The sequence below is a fragment of the Homo sapiens genome, chromosome 7 (genome assembly GCF_000001405.40).
Source record: "Homo sapiens chromosome 7, GRCh38.p14 Primary Assembly".
In the NCBI taxonomy this organism is placed as follows: domain Eukaryota; kingdom Metazoa; phylum Chordata; class Mammalia; order Primates; family Hominidae; genus Homo; species Homo sapiens.
This window is the reverse complement of record NC_000007.14, coordinates 70,239,674-70,257,847: the sequence shown is the minus strand read 5'-3', so window position 1 is coordinate 70,257,847 and position 18,174 is coordinate 70,239,674. Positions and strand designations below refer to the sequence as shown.

The window sequence follows — 18,174 nt, the reverse complement described above, 5'->3', positions numbered from 1 at the left end:
CACACTGAACAGGATGTATGAAAATGATGTCAGATCCTTGGATCTACCCATAAGGAGTAGTAGTAGCCTCAGAATAAAATAGGATAGGCAGGCTGGGCATGATGGCTCACTCCTGTAATCCCAGCACTTTGAGAGGCCAAGGTGGGAGGATCGCTCAGGCCCAGAAGTTTGAGACCAGCCTGGGTAACACAGTGAGGCCCCGTCTCTACAAAAAAAAAAAAAAAACTTCAGGCCAGGCACAGTGGCTCACACCTGTAATCCCAGCACTTTGGCAGGTCGAGGCGGTCGGCTCACTTGAGGTCAGGAGTTCAAGACCAGCCTGGCCAACATGCCGAAATCTCTTCTCTACTTAAAATACAAAAATTAGCTCGGCATGGTAGCATGTGCCTGTAATCCCAGCTACTAAGAAGGCTTAGGTGGGAAAATGGCTTGAACCCGGGAGGCGGAGATTGCAGTGAGCCGAGATTGTGCCACTGCACTCCAGCCAGGGGGACAGAGCAAGACTCTGTCTCAAAACAACAACAAAAACAAAATTCAAAATGAACTGGGTGTGGTGGCGTGTGCCTGTAGTCCCAGCTACTTGAGAGGCTGAAGTGGCAGGATCTCTTGAGTCCAGGAGGTCGAGGTTGCAATGAGTTATGATTATGCCACTGATCTCCAGCCTGGGTAATAGAGTGAGACCCCAATTCTTAAAAGAAAAACAAAAACTAAAAAACAGAATAGGCATGCAGAAGGAAGGCCCAGCCACACAATTAGACCTGTAAGGAAGGCCCGGACCATCATGTAAGGACTATGCTTAAAAAACAATGAAGAGCAAGGCAGAAGCCAGGCATCTAATTTTCTTAGAAGATCAGGAAAGGACTACCCATTATAGCTGGGGCACAATATGAGATGTGCTGGATTCACTGAACAAAATAAAAAGTTCAGGGACCACACTGAAAGTTGACTGTGAAGGCAATTCTCCTTCCCTTAGCTCTACACCAGACTGAGAGCTGAGGTGGGATAAAGACACTAGAGTACTTTCTATCTCTGTCCATGATGAATCTGAAAGCTATAATAAGAAAAGCATGGCAAAACACACAGGAAAGAAGATAAATGAACCCAACTGGCAGAAAAACAAAAGCAGAAGGCAGAAAGGGACCAAAGGCATAAAGGGCAAGTTGTCCCTAAAAATGCGAGCCCTAAGATCACAGTAAGTACAAAGCTGTGGTCAGCCACGGTGATGTGTTTTCTGAACGCAAGCAGATAATACCAACTTGCAGGACTCTGGGGCAGCCCTGACAGACAACTGTCATATTTCATTCTGAGACTGCTTCCTCGTACAGAACAGATGCAATAGGTTTAGCAGGTCCTTGGCAGCTTGGAAGCCATTTGTAACTATGGACCATGGGATGAAATCAACCTTCAGCCACTATAAGCCTTCTTTTCAGGACTGGGGCATGAAGTGGGCGACACCACCATTGCTGCCTGTTATGACCCTCTGTTCTCTTGGCCCACTGTGCAACATTTACACACATCCCTTTAGAGGAAACTGAAGAAGAAGAAGCCCTAGTTTATTAACCCAACACACTGCAAATCTAATTAAAAGTCAAATACACAATACTCTCTTCAAAATCCAAATGCTCTTTACAGAAACATCAAGGAGGAAGGGAGCAGAGCGGAATGGCCCCATGAAGGTAATCAGGATTCATCTTCAGGGACTCGTACTAGATTACTCGCAGCTCATTATCAGTGCTCTGTGTAGTAGGAGAACACCTAGAGACCACATCATTAGCGTCCTACACATTCATTATGCCACAAATGGAAACACCATAACAAAGCAGCCCTGGTGTTCAGGGAAAGATAAGATTTCACTCCCTAGTTCCAGTACACTTAAGTCTATTAAAGTTTTCAGCAATAACGTTGTTAAACAAAGGGAAAAGTTATAGGCTGGTTCTTTCCACATCAAACCATAACCCAATGATTAATAAATCTAGGCCTTACTCTGTTTTAGTGCATATAATTAAAAACCTTAGAAAATGGTTTGTTCTTACATTTTTAGTTTTAACAACACAAGGTCAATAGTGCTTTTGATAGACATGATTTAGTATCCAACAAAAGTTCTATCTCTTTCTATAAGCTGGCTGAAATGATGAATAAAACCCACCAAAACAAAGCAAACATAACAACAAAGAAAAAAAAAAGTCATATTCTACAATGTGAGCTTTTGAAGGATATTACTATGAAACCGTCTCTGGAAAGAAAAGTTCTTCCCATATAAGCTGAAGTTATAAAATACATCTGAGAGCAGTCCTTGCTTGCCAAAAGAGTGCAAACTCAGTTATTTGTGGGGCTCTGGTTTGGAATGCAAATGTCAAAAGGAACACCACAGAAAAAGTGGAAAACAGAAAGATAACTTATTTCATCATTATTTTTTTTTGCAATTAGTATCTCCCTATTTGCCTTTTAAAGACCACCTTTTTAAAGGTAATTTCGTGGCTGGGCGTGGTGGCTCACGCCTATAATCCCGGCACTTTGGGAGGCTGAGGCGGGCGGATAACGAGGTCAGGAGTTCGAGACCAGCCTGACCAACATGGTGAAACCCTGTCTCTACTAAAAATACAAAAATTAGCCAGGCGTGGTGGCACATCCCTGTAATCCCCACTACTCGGGAGGCTGAGGCAGGAGAATCCCCTGAACCCAGGAGGCATAGGTTGCAGTGAGCCAAGATCATACCATTGTACTCCAGCCTGGGCGACAGAGTGAGACTCCGTCAAAAAAAAAAAAAAAAAAAGGTAATTTTGAGGTCCAGAACAACCCCTGTATTCCATACCTGGATTTCTGAAGGTGGGTGAAAGGAACCAGCTTCCCCCACTGAGCCCTACTCACCCAATCTTCTCTCTCACTTATGATGAGGATTGTTATGTTAGAAGGGAAAGGGTCAAGACCTTTTCAACTGAAATACCACTAACCAGTTTTAGGATTTAAAACACATACATCCTGAGATAGTCTAGTAGGCAAAAATAAAATTATCCTATTATGTTGCTTTGCTATCTTCCCATTTCTTTCAACAGATACAGAAGAACCATCTGTTCTAGACTGTGAGAATACTCTGCTACATAAGATATTACAAATATAACATTTGTGAAATTTGCTCTTAAGGAGATTACAAACTACAAAAGGAGCTCATAACAAGTCAAAAGAGAAGGGTAAAGGAAAGTTTTATAGAAACAGTAGCTTTTGAAGCATTTGCCCGAAAAAGGAATGGTGACATTGGAACATGTACAAACGGACAGTGTTTGGGATAGCAAGCAGTGAGAGCAAGTCATAGAAGCAGAAAAACAAATGAGTGCTTAGTAAGAACATTAAGTGATTAAATTTGGTTGCATCAGCAGTTCTCCAACCTGATCAGGTTACAGAGCACCTGGAATTCATGATGGTCTTTGTAGGTATTTGTAGAACCTTATGGAATAATGAAATACTAATTCCACTTAAGAAGGGTTGGAATAATATAATCTATGTTTGAAAGCATGAGTGAAGACTGGAATGAAAGAAGTAAATTACATTAATGATTATACTTTATATTTTATTGAAAAAAGACATAATTACTTGATTTTTAGAGTAGAATATTTTGTTCCAGGTTGCAGAGTGTCCGTGTTTGGCAGGATCATGGCTATTTCCAGCCTTATGCCATGGGAGATTAGGTACTAAGACTGATACTTCCACTGAAAACGATTTAAAAACTAAACAGAATGAAGTTTAAAATATTATTCTAATCTACATCCATGAGCTAGACAGAAAGTAAGCAATACTCAGGTCAAAAATAAAGCAAAGAGAAGAAAAAAAATTTAGTTTTTGTTTCCTCTTATGAATATTTCCCAAACTAGTTAGAACTTCAGCTTTGGCTTCAAGTCTTCACAAATCCAGGGATCAAGAGCATAGCACATGGCCCCCACCCCAGGTAAGACATCTAGTAGAAGATCCCAACAGAGCTATACACAAAAGACCTACTACACATTCAGTGCTAGATGAACTAAAAATAAACTACCCTCTCCCTCAAGTAAATTGCAATGAAAATTTCTCATCTCAAATAGTATTGCCGGCAGAAAAAAAAAATCTCTTCTGATAATGCATAATGACAAGCTGACTCTCATAGAGTTTTAAAGCCTTAATTTACATAAAATGGTCTGAAAAGAAAAACCTCACCCTGAGAATATAAGATGGTCTCACACAGGTAGTTTCACTAGAGGCATGAAATAATCAAATATCTGGTAAAAACCACCTTCTCCCAGGTGTCAAAGAATTCCTAAAAATTCCAGGAAAAACAAGCAATACTCACACAAAGTTCTCAGGGAAATAAGCAATTCACAGTAAAAATTACCAAACAAGTAAGGAAAGGCAAAAGGATGAGTGAAAGCTGGCAGATAACAACAATCAGATACATAAATCATTGGAAATGCTTCAGACATTGAAATTTCAGACACGCTAAGTATATGTAATGTCTCAAGAAGAATAACAGTCTCAAAAAAAATCAACACCACCTAGTATGTACTAACAGAGTTAAAGATTTTAAATAAAGAATCAACAGTTTTGAATTCAAAAAATTTCTTTTTTCCATTCCAGGACTAAGGCAGAGTAGATACAAAATGACATCTTGTTATGCCATAACATAAACAACTGCTCAAATCAATGACATGAGCACATCACTAGGTTACAGGAGCCATTTTAGATGTGGACACCACTGGCCAAATATGAAATGAGTACTAAAATTATTTAGTAATGAATTCAAGACTGCTTAGGAAAATAGGAATTCATAAATTGACTACATAAAGAAAAAATGAAAAAGAAACATCACGTTACCTAGACTTCAAGATCTATCACAAAGCTACAGTGATCATAAAGGTATGGTACTGGCAGAAAGACAAATTACCAATGAAACAGGATAGAGAACACAGACATAAACCCACACACTTTTGGTTAGCTGATTTTCTACAAAGATGCCAATAGCACACAATGGAGAAAAGATAGTCTCTTTAATAACTGGTATTGGGAAAATTGGATATCCACAAGCAGAACAATGAAACTGGATGCTTACTTCACACCTTTTACAAAAATAAACTCAAAATGGACTGAAAACTTAAATGTAAGATCTGAAACTGTAAAACTACTGGAAAAAAACATAGGAAAACGTTCCACAACATTGGTCTAGGAAAAGATTTCTTGAATATGACTACAAAAGCAAAAATTAACAAGTGGGATTGTATCAAACTAAAAATCTTCTTCATGGCAAAAAAAAGCGATTAGCAGAGTTAAGAAATAGCTTGCAGATTGGGAGAAAATATTTGCAAACCATATATTTAATATGGGGTTAATATCCAAAATATATAAGGAACTCAAATAACTCAATAGCAATAAAACAAATAACCCAGTCAAAAAATGGGCAAAGGGCCTAAATAGATACTTCTCCAAAGAAGGCATACAAATGGCCATCAGACATATGAAAAAATGCTCATCATCACTGATCAACAGGGAAATTAAAGTTAAAGCCACAATGAGATATCAAAAGGATGAAAGGTAAGGGTTGGCAGTGGTGTGGAGAAATGAGAACCCTTGTGCATTGTTCATGGGAATGTAACTTAATACAGCCATGAAGGAAAACAGTATGAAAGTTCCTCAGAAAATTAAAAATAGAATTACATTATCATCCAGTAGTCTTACTTCTGATATAAATTCAAAGAAACTGAAATCAGTATGCCAAAGAGGTAGCTATATTCTCATGTTCGTTGCAGCAATATTCACAGTTGATAACTATACTGTAATCAGGTAAGAGAATATGCCTATTAAGAAATATATAACCTAAATTATTTAGTGAAAAAGGTCATAATGTATGAAATTTATCTTTAAATGGTCAGAAAAAAATATATCCGAGAGAGAAAAAACAAATTATAAATCAAATGGAGTGAAATAAGAATCAGAGGCTCTAGGTAAAGGGTATATGGTATTATTCACACAGTTTCTGACCTTACAATGATTTTCAAATTTGAAATCACTTCCAAATAAAAAGTTAAATTTAAAAAAATTATAAAAACAAAAACTATATTAATCAAAATTGAAAATCTCAGTAATCAGAATTAACAATAGATTAGGTACTGGTGAAGAGCCAACAAGCAAACTGGAAGCTAAAATAAAACATCATCTGGAATGTAGTACAGAAATTATGACAGTCAAGGAAGAGACAGTGAGAAAGAAGGTCTAACAAACATATAATCTTAGTTCCCAGAGAAGAGGAAGGGAAAGAGAGAATGAGGAGTTGGCAATACTTGAAAAGAAACTGAATAGACAATTTTCCAAAACTGATGAAAAATATCAATCCAAAGATACAAGAAGACAAGAAATCCTTAAATTTAACTGATAAAAGTGGTCACCCCGGGGGAAGAGTACATTTAGAGAAGAGGTGAGGGAACTTTTTACTTAATTTACTTGTATTTGTTGAAATATTTTATATTGGCCGGGTGTGGTGGTTCACGCCTGTAATCCCAGCACTTTGGAGGCCGAAGTGGGCAAATCATGAGGTCAGGAGTTCAAGACCAGCCTGGCCAACATGGTGAAACACTCTCTTTACTAAAAATACAAAAAATTAGCTGTGTGTAGTGGCAGGCGCCTGTAATCCCAGCTACTTGGGAGGCCGAGGCAGGAGAACTGTATGAACCTGGGAGGCAGAGGTTGCAGTGAGCCAAGATTGTGCCAGTGCACTCCAGCCCAAGCGACAGAGTGAGACTCCGTCTCAACAAAAAAAAAAAGAAATATTTTATAACTGGAAATTTATTCATATGACATGTATACTTTTTTAATTTTTGTTTTGGGTTCAGGGGTACATGTGCAGGTTTGTTATATGGGTAAGCTGCGTGCCACAGAGGTTTGGTGTACAGATAATTTTGTCACCTGGGTAATAAGCATAGTACCTGATAGTTTTTTGATCCTCTCCCTCCTACCACCCTCCACCCTCAAGTAGGCCCCAGTGTCTGTTATTCCCCTCCTAGTGTCTGTGTGTTGTTGTTGTTTAGCTCCCACTCATAGGTGAGAACTTGCAGTATTTGGTTTTCTGTTCCTGTGTTGGTCTGCCTAGGATGGTGACCTCTACCTCTGTCAATGTTGCTGCAAAGGGTATGATCTCATTCTTTAGTGGCTGCATGGTGTTCCATGATGTATATGTACCATGTTTGCTTTGTCCAGTCTACCACTGATGGGCATTTGGGTGGATTCCATTTCTTTGCTATTGTAAATAGTACATGTATAATTAAAATTAAAAACAAGAGAGATGTTAGTGAATTTTGTAGTTTCATTCTGATGAGAACAGCGTGGTATATATGGGTTCCACTAGTTTCACCCTAATCCCCTGTATCAGAATTATCCAGGGGCAGAGAATGGAGGTGGGTGGCAGACCTTGCAGATTCTGGGTCTGTACCTGACCATGTGAATCTGTCTCTGGAGGAGAATGCTGCAAATGTGCAGGTCTGTCTATTGCATGTCTGGTATCATGGCCCTATCTGGTCCTTAGACCATGCTTTGAGAAACACTAAGAGAAGGAAAATCCAGACAGTCTGACCATTCTTACCTTCATCCCTATTTGTAACTGAGTCCAAGTTTAGGGCATGTTTGTGCATAGGAGATGGTGTTACCCAATTAGTAGATCCTTGAATAAAACAATGGCTTCATAAAGAGAAGCCATTATGAAGATTCACAGCTATTCAAAGTTGTCTTGCTTTGAAGGGAATGGGGTTCTGTCTGAGCTCCTTCCCCATTTATTAGGATCATTAATACTTTACTTAATATTAAATGTTTTAAGTAAAATATTAATATTTTGTTCTTGCATCAAATTATGTTTTAAGTAAAATATTAATATTTTAAGTAAATTAATGTTTTAAGTAAAAAATTAATATTTTAAAAGTAAAATAAAATTTTACTTAAAATATTAATATTTTACTTAAAATATTTTACTTAAAATATTAATATTTTACTTAAAACATAATTTGATGCAAGAACAAATGGACCCAACTTGAAATTTTTATGTCCCATATGGGCACCTGCATCATCACCTGCATGTATCTAATCCACTTACTGAGTTTGAGTCAGAGAAAAATGAAAACTGCAGTGGAACATCCTCTTAGGGATGTGGATCCTGTAACAATGATCCCATGGTTACTAGGTTATTCTGGTTCCCTGAGAGTCAGGTGAACCTTCTGCTTTGCCCTGAACAATCTCCTACATCAGTGTTTCTCAAAGAGTGTTCTGCAGACCACTCTCATTGGAGTCACTTGGGGAAACTTGTTAAAAATGAAGATCCCAGGGTCTCTTTGCTGACCTACTGAATCATAGCCTCTAAGAACGCGCCCCAGGAGCTTGCATTTAAGTAAGATTTCCCATTTATTCTAATGCGCACTAAACTCCATTCTATAGAACTGTCCCATATGGTTTCCAGTGTGGTAGCCACTGGCCACATGTGGCTTTTGAGGGCTTGCAGCGTGGTTGATGACACATATTGAAATGATATTTTGGACCTACCGGGTTAAATAAAACGTAATTTAAAATTAAAAAAAGAAGACAACAAATCCTAAGCAGGTTACGCAAAAAATAATTTCAACCTAAATGCACCTTAAACTGCAGAACACCAAAGACAAAAGAAAGACTTAAAAGCAGCCAGAAAAAGAACAAATTACATTAAAGGAAGCAACAATTAAATAACACCTTATATTTCAATAGTAACAGTGTAGAATCTTGAAGACACTAGAATGACATCTTCAATATTCAAAGTGAAACTTGTTAACTTAAAATATCATAGAGTAAAAAGTATCTTTCCATAGTAAAAATTCTCTAAAAAATATAATTTATCTAGAATAAAAGTGATCCAACATGAATGGTCTGAAAGCAATAAAAATGAAGAGTAGAACATGGGAAAATATGTGGTTAATTCTGAACAATATCATCTGCTGGGTGTATACAACAGAATTAAGGTAAATGATAACAAACTGATGGGAATTAAAGTGTTCAAAAGTCCCTGTATTCATCATTATCTTTCCTTTCCTCCTGAGTAACTTTAGACTTTGAAATGTTTTTATTAAATTTCTAGAGTAACAACCAAAAGAATGAAAATGGTTTACAGAATTTCTGAAATTGCAGAAGAAAAAAATGAAGTAAGAAGAAACAATTCAAAGAAAAGCAGGAAATCAGAAAAAAAATGTAGAAAGGGCAAAAATAGAATGCACAAAATAAATTCTAACTGATCTATAATTATAAATAGACAAAAAGCTCCATTTAACAGACAAATATTATCTGGTCAGAAGAGCTTTTTAAAACATCTTCATCCCTGTGAGGTCTGAGAAAAAAATTTTAAAAAAAATCAATCTATATAGTACCTATAAGAAACATACCTAAAACACAGAGACATGGCTGGGCACGGTGGCTCATGCCTGTAATCTCAGCACTTTGGGAGGTCGAGGCAGGCAGATCACTTGAGGTCAGGAGTTTGAGGCCAATCTGGCCAACATGGCAAAATGATGTTTTTTTACTGAACATCTTTACTAAAAATACAAAAATTAGCTGGGCGTGGTAGTGGGTGCCTGTAGTCCCAGCTACTAGGAAGGCTGAGGTGGGAGAATCTTGATACCAATCCTCAAAATGATGATTTGAGAAAAACACTACAAGACAACTGGACTCATGAACTTGGATGAAAAATCCTAAGTAAAATGTCAGCAAACTGAATCTAGCATTGTGTGAAAGGCATAATATGTCATAATCAATTTGTGTTTAACCCCCGAATTACAGATTGATTTAACATTGGAAAATCAATTACTGTAGTTTATCACACTAACAGATTAGAAGAAAATCACATCATCATTTCAATAAATCATCTGACAGTCATTCATGATAAAAATTAAATCTCAGCAAACTAGAAATGAAGGGAACTTCCTTAATCTGATAAAAGCTACCTAAAAACAAAACAAAACAAAATACCATATTTAATGGGAAACATTCTAAGCGCTTCTTTTAAGATCAAGGCAAGAAATCCTGCTATTATTATTCTATTTGACATTATTGAATGTCATAGGTAACTGGATAACCCAAGATAAATAAATAAAAGTATGAAGATTGGAAAAGATGAAACAAAATGCTCATTATGACATTACTGCATATACAGAAATCTAGACGAGCTGCAAAAAACTTACTATAACTGGTAAGTTTGGCAAGGTTGCTAGATTCAAAATCAATATACAAAAATCAAGTGTATTTCTATACACCAGCAGTAAATTTTAGAACACATAATTTTTATTGTGGTAAAATATACATTAAAATGAAATTTACCATTTTAACCATTAAGTGTGTAGCTTAATAGTATTAATTATATCATAATATTGTTCAATTATCACCACCATCCAGCTCCAGAAATTTTTTCATCTTCCCAAACTGAAACCTCATACCTGTTAAACAATAAGAGCCCATTCCCTCTTCCCACCAGCCTCTGACAATCACCATTCTACTTTCTGTCTCTATGACTTTGACAGTGGTAGGCACTGGATATAAGTGAAATTATACAGTATTCTTTTAGTGACTGACTTGTGTCACTTACCATAATGTCTTCAAAGTTCATCTATATTGTAGCATGGGTCAACATTTCCTTCCTTTCTAAGGCTGAATAATATTCCATTGTATAAATATACTACATTTTGTTTATCCTTTTATCAGTCAATGGATATGTGAGTTATTTCTACCTTTTGACTATTCTGAATAGTGCTGCTATGAACATTGGTGAACAAATATCTGTTTGAGTCCCTGCTATGAATGATTTTGGGTATATACGAAGAACGAGAACTGCTGCTAACATGGTTTTTCAAGACACCATTTATAATAGGACCAAAAAAAATCAAGTACCTGGGAACAAATCTAATAGAAATTTGCAAATAGGTAATAAAAAAAACATATAGAGAAAAACCATAAAATTTTCCGGAAGGAGAAAAAAGATTTAAATAAATAAAGATAAATATTATATTCAAGGACTAGAAGAATCAATATCATAAAGATGCCAATTCCTTCTAAATTATCCAATAAACAATGCAATTCCAATGAAAATTTCACTTTTTTGAGAATATGAAACTTGATGAGTTGATTCTAAAATTTACACGGAAGAGTAGTAAGACAAGAGTCACCAATGTGTACCTGAAAAATAATAAGAGGTGGGGGAGGGAGACTGAATTTTAAAATATCAAGCAATAATTAAAAGTTGTAATAATTTCAACAGTGTTGTGTTGTTATATAAATTAGCAAACAAATGAAAGAGAAAACTCAGAAATAAACCTAGGCAAATTTGGAGGCATAATTTATGACAGTTGGTCCATCAGATCACTGAGAGATGAAGAAACTTTTAAAATATATTATGGTAATGGTATTATAGTTGCTTGTCCATATGGAGAAAAATAAAGTTGAACCCTTACCTTACCTCACATCATACATGAAGATTAATTCCAGATAAAGCAATGAATTAAGTGTAAAAGATAAAACTAGAACACTTTTAGAAAACAACATGTAAGAATGCTTTTATGACCTCAGAGTAGGGATGAATTCTCAAAACAAGACTCAAACTATACAGGAAAAGTTTGATAAACTCAACTATTCTATCATTAAGAACTTTTTATCACAAGACACCATAAACAGAATGCGCTGATAAACCATAACTTAGGAAATGTTTTGGAACACACATTATTCACAAAGGAATAGTGATCAAAATATATAAAGCACTCTTATAACTGAATAAGAAAAAGTTCAACATTAAAATAAAGACATAGATTAAAAAACCCAAAAGAACATGCTCAGAAGAGGAAACCAGGGCAGAAAAATTCAAATTAAAACCACAATGAGGCTGTTGAACACACACACATACACATGTGCACAAGATTATTTCATATGAAGTATGATAAGAGTATTCATGAAAATGTGGAAACGATGGCAACAATTCTACACTGCTAGTTAGAGTGGAAATTGGTACAATTAATTTTGAAATCAACTTAGCGTTATCTAGTAATGTTCCTTATGTGCATACCCTAAACCCAAGCAATTCTAATGCTAAGTAAATTTCAAGGATATGTGCCAGGAGACACATAAAAGAACAGTCATACAGCACTATTTCTAACAAATCAAAAATGGAAACAACCTGTATGTCCACTGTCCATCAATACAAGGTATATGTAAACCATAGTATATTCATACAATGGAACACTACAGGGCAGTGAAAATGAATGCATTACAGCTATGTGCAACAACACAGTCAATTCTCAGCAACTAAGCAGCAGAAAAACCAAACTGCAGAATATATTCCATCTACAGAATGTACAAAACAAATATCACTGTTTAGGAAACAAAGATAAACTTTACAGAAATGTTTACTGTAAGTATTCGCAAGGCAAATAATTGTTCACTGTGAAACAATTAGACTGGTGGGTTATGAAATTGCTGCCAGTTTCCATCATGGGTCTTTAATTGTAAGTTAAAAACTATTAGGCCATTAGCAGTGACTTATTAACATATTGCTCAAAAGAGCTAGAATTTACCTGCATGAATAAAGTTACTCTGTCAAGAGCTTTAAAAAACTGCAATACTTCTAAGATGTCTTGCACTTACTTTTTAATTTTTGTTTATTTTTTATTTTTTATATATATATATATATATATATATACACACACACACTTTTTTTTTTTTTTGAGGCAGGATCTCACTCTGTCACCCAGGCTGGAGTGCAGTGGTGCAACCTTGGCTCACTGCAACCTTCATCTCCTGGGTTCAAGTGATTCTCCTGCCTCAGCCTCCCAAGTAGCTGGGATTACAGGCATGCGCCACCACACCCAGCTAATTTTTGTATTTTTAGTAGAGACGGGGTTTTACCATGTTGGCCAGACTGGTCACAAACTCCTCACCTTAAGTGATCCACCTGTCTCAGCCTCCCAAAGTGCTGGGATTATAGGTGTGAACCGCCGCACCCGGCCATCTTGCACTTACTTTTATCAGTTAAGTTTAGTGTTTCTAAACAGTTCAAAGACAAAGAAAAGGATCAAGCACCATTCCCTTTCACCGAAAATTTATCATTTTTCACATGATCCAAATGGTCATAATTACAGGTGCCATCTATGCAGAATCACATTGAAACAAAAAATCCATAAAGCATATCAATTGTATCCAGTAGTGCCAACATTCACCTGACATCCATTCCTGCTGATCCTTAGTCATTCACAGAACTGCTGTGTGTTCTTTAGAGGGATGAGAAACTCTAGAGCATGATTACTGAGCATCTTTACTATTGAATCCTTTAGGAATAGATTCCTGTGAGATGCAATAACACAGAAAAATATTTTGCTTATTACAAAGAAACATTAGATTGGCTGCTGGATTTCATTTAAGGGTTAGATTCATTTTTAAAGATAGTGTATATGTCCTGGCTGGCATTATCTAATGCTATAAATGCCTCTCTAACTTAAGTTTTAAAACAATTTGATCTTTAACAAAGAGTTCTTAATAATAGTAAAGTATATTCAAATTATTAGTTTAAGTGAACAAATGAATATAACATCTACAGTAATATCTACAGTATGATCTGTTGAAAGTATGATCACTAGTGTGTGAGGAAATAAACATAATGAAATAATATGTGAAAATATTAACTGTGGAAAATAAAAAAATAACTTTTTCTTCTTTCTATTCTATATTTTCCAACTTCTCTATAGTGGGCACATAGGGTTATTAAAAGATGACAATATATAAAAAATAACTCACACAGTACCCTCTCATTTTTACCTTGACAGTAACAGTAAGAATAGGAGTATCTCCCATACTCTTACTATTACTGTAATAGTATTACTATACTGTAATAGTATTACTATTATAGTTATAGTAATAATAAGAGTAAGAGTATCTCCCATACTCTTACTATTACTGTCAAGGTAAAAATGAGAGGGCAGGCCCAGTCTAATGATTCTATTTCAAGCAAAGCACATCAATAAGCTTCTTTACAAGCCATATCCCTGTTAAGAGTAGTCATGAATAGAGAAAAGATTTGTAGCATTACCCTTTTGGTGATGATGTGTGAATCAAAGGGAAGCAATGTGTCTAGAAGATTGTACAAATTGTCTGCCAGTTATCTTAAGAATGGAATATGCCATGTGTCACTACTTTGGGACACATTATCGCAGAGTTGGGAGAAACAGACTATTTCTCTTTGAGCTGACTCATCACTTTCTTTCAATTGAGCACAGTCAAGGTTAGCCTGAGTAAAACCCTGTTATAAGGTACATAGTAAAGAGTTCTAGGAGGGAGTCTCCGCACACTGAAATGTCTCAACAGTTGTTATCATGTACTAAACTAATGAAGAAACTCAGAAATCCTGGACCCCCAAAATAATATTTCCAAATCTATTTATTCAAACTGAATCATCCACCACTCATGCCTGATCAACCTTCAAAGGAACACAGAACATCATAAAAGCCATAATCCCATTGATTAGGACCATTTGTGTTTGGTATACATACATATATTATATATATACTCATACACACACACACACACACACACACACACACACACACACACACACACACAAGGATACATTCTTTCCTCTCTATTTTTTAAAGGAAAACTGATTATGGAAACCTGGCTTGAGGCTGTAATTTTGTAAAAGATGCCAGCATAGTTGTTTTCAAGTAAAAAACAAGTTGCACTTTTGTACTCAGAGACCTCGTTTTAATTTATGCAAAGCTTAAAACATTTTGTTAGGCCTGAGTGAGACCATCTGTGCAAGAAATAAAGGATGCCTAAGGGTAAAATAGGCAAGAATAGTAATGCTGAATGTGTGGAAGGCAGTAGGCGGCCTACGGGTTTTGCAACTACTGCTGTGACCTTTACTACTTTAGAGAAGAAACAAGGGTAATTTCCATATATTTGCTCCTCTAGAAAAGCACGGCATTTCTCCCCTCTTCCTCTCTTGCTCTCTTTCTTTTTGCTTATTCCTTCATAAAAAATTGGCAAATCAGACCCAACATAGGGAAGTGCAGCTAGTTTTGAAAACTGTACTTTAAGATACACTCACATGTGCGCACGTGCACACACAGTGGACTATTTGAGGGCAGGGAGACTAAGAAGATGAAGGGATGAGAAACCAGGTTGAATAAGATTAACTCAGAAGGGGCATGATAATATTTTCATGTAGTCTCATGATAACATAATCTCAATTACTAGAAGAGTTATCACACAGTAGGATGGAAGAGAGGAAGTAATTGAGTGCCTACTGCATGTCAGGCACTTCACAAAGAGTATTCATATTTAATTTGTTTTAACATAAAAATGTTTTCTGATTTGTATAACACCCAAAAGTAGAATACAGACCAATATAAAAGGCAGGAGGAAAGAGCAGGGGAAGTATGGATGGAAGAAGGAAGAAACAGAAATGGATGAGAGAGGAGAGCCAAAGATGAACTGAGAGGCCTCTGAAGATAATTAATGGCCAGTCTCTGGCAATGCTCTGGTGCAGGCTGGATGGTCACTTATCCGAATCCTGTTTTGGGGGTTTGGGATGAATCCATTCCTTCTAGCCACACAATCTCCTCTACACAGTATGGAGGTTTACAAGTTGATGAGAAGGCACGGGCAACCACCTGAGGTGGAAACCAGGCTATTCATGTCTAACCTCTATAACCAAGATACCTATACTAACTATGTTGCCACTGTGTCTGGTAAGACTTCCCTCCCTAAGGCCAATCTTGGAAAGGAGGCCATTGCGGAATTGTGCTGTCACTCTGCACATGTCTAAAGAATAGGGGCTGTACCATATCCAAACTGAACAGGTTGTTTTGACCACAGGAAAATAGGACCTCTGGCAAACTTCCTACCACTTCAGCCAAATGCCCTAAGCATCCTCAATGAAGCATTTCCTCTGCTCAAGCAACTCAGGCCTCTCAAAGTCGGCAGGCACTGGTTTAATGCAGGTGTGTTAGAACAGCATTTCTCTGTAAATCAAAGCTTTTTTCAGAGAGCAACATTGCCTGTAAAATGATGGCTTTCTTCCTAACACTCTCAAATTAACATTACAAAGGCCTGACCTTATGTGCATTAAGTATTCCCCAAAGAAGCACAAGAATATTTTGTGAGTTTGTTCATACTGCATTTCTTTCTTTTGATTACCTTTGGGACTTATTAAGGAATTCATGCTTCTCTCCCCTCCCATTTTTCTTACAGGGGTCCCACAGGGGCTAGGGATGAAGGAATGGAGAAAGAACCCAAACCAAGGGTGTAATAGTCACATCAAAGCTAAAAAGACTTTTATTTACCAAAAGAAAGGTTTTAAAAAAAACTTCAAAAAAGTAGTAAGTACTTTTATCTAGGGGATATATTTTACAGAACATTTATATATAGCTACAGCATATGGGGCTAAAATTAAAATCTTTTATATTGACTCCTCTTAGATAAGGCATAGAGTGAGTTTTAAAACAAAGGCAAGTATGTAATGTTAAGGCAATGAATTTCCTTAAAGAAAATCAAAACGATTTGTGTTATTTTTCCCATTATACACTCTTACCCTATTATTGTGGCCTGGAATCTTAGGTACAAATCATAATGAATATGACAAATGTGTACCACAGGGAACCAATGTTGATAATGATATCATTTGGGATAGAGGAGTCTATGTCTCAATCAGATTTCAGGCAGGACCATGAATCCGCTTTGTAATTAAGACCTAGAGGAGGCCAAAAAGCTGACTGGGAAGGCTTCCCAATTGCTCAAGCTTCATAAGACACCACTGACTTCATGGATTCTCCAGCACTTGGGGATGGAGTTCCTTGTTAGATATGTCCAAACAACAAGGACCTAATCTTGGAGTCAGACCACCTTACTGTTGTTATTCAAAACCCGAAGTGGATACAGTCCTGGAGTTGCTTTCTTCTAAGCATAAGATTTGATTTCTGACTTGTGGTGGTGAGTGAAAAGGAAATATAAATTGGAAATCATTTCATTGAAACTTTTTTACTATAAACACTTTGTAGGCTTAAACTAAAAGAAAACTGTAATCTCCCATAAACCCATGAATTAAAGGAGGATGCTGTGTTTTCTATGCATACAGACATTTATTTTCTTAAATTACCATATTGCACATGCTATATTAAACTAGAGGATCACATGTTCAATGCCAAAAATGGCATGCAAGCCTTGAGCAGACCAACTGAATAAAGGGCTAGAGATGGGGACACAAAGGGCCAAAACCAACATAAAGAAGAATGGTTTCTGGAAAGATGTTAGTAATACTAGACCGGAGTCAGGAGGGAGCATAGCAAGAGTCCCTAGGCCTCACTCTGTATTTAATTCATTCCTTCTGCCCTTAAGATTATAAGTGTACTACCATCATTTACCCAGCTCCTTCCATATGCCAGGCACTTTACAAAATCCCCATGAAAACCACATATGTATTATCAAACACCATTTTACAATCAAGAAAACTCAGACTCAAAGAGTTGAGAAACTCTTAAGAGTGGTTCAGGGAATATTCACAACCAGATGTGTCTGACATCAAAGTCAAAGCTACTAGTTACCAGGTTACATCAATTGTAGCCAGGGCTCTGAAAGAGGCACCATATTGAACCCAGCTGTGTTGCATTAAATCTCCTTCTATAGCCTACCACCTGTGCTCCTTGGCTACCGGGGCTGGGAGATTCTGGTTGCTAGGCTCATTGCTTAGTAGGAATGTCACGCTAGCCAGCTCAGGCAACCTCTAAGAACTACACCAGTCCCCAGTCATATCTCCTCCTTATTCTGCACTCACATCTCTGATTATAATATTCAGTGAGTCACTGATCCCATCTGGCCCAATGATTCCTTACCTACCGTTACTTAAACCACAGGACCTCTAAATATTCATGTGCTTATGCCGTACTTTCCCGATCGGCAATAGGAGTGGGACTCAATTTTCTTAGTATCTCCTCCATTCTTATGTACATTGCCTTACAGAGAGTAGGTGTGCAATAAATGCAATTAATTTTTCAAGAATTCCAAGTGGTATGATTCATGGAATGAACCTTACCACCTCTCCTTAAAAATTAGGTTGCAGGGGCCGGGTATGGTGGCTCACGCCTGTAATCCCAACACTTTGGGAGTCCCAGGTGGGCAGAT

General features: G+C 36.8%; 1 protein-coding gene across 26 annotated transcripts in view, besides 1 other annotated feature; it reads right to left on the bottom strand.

The window, feature by feature from the left end:
• The window catches only part of AUTS2 (activator of transcription and developmental regulator AUTS2), a 1,195,032-nt gene that overhangs the window by 535,659 nt on the left and 641,199 nt on the right, over nt 1-18,174 (bottom strand). The gene's annotated exons all lie outside the window — the stretch shown is intronic.
• Nucleotides 967-2,377: an enhancer, noted in NCBI's record as "VISTA enhancer hs2317". NCBI's record gives its function as "enhancer in: eye[6/6] | other[3/6]" and the evidence as "EXISTENCE:transgenic organism evidence [ECO:0001131][PMID:17130149]".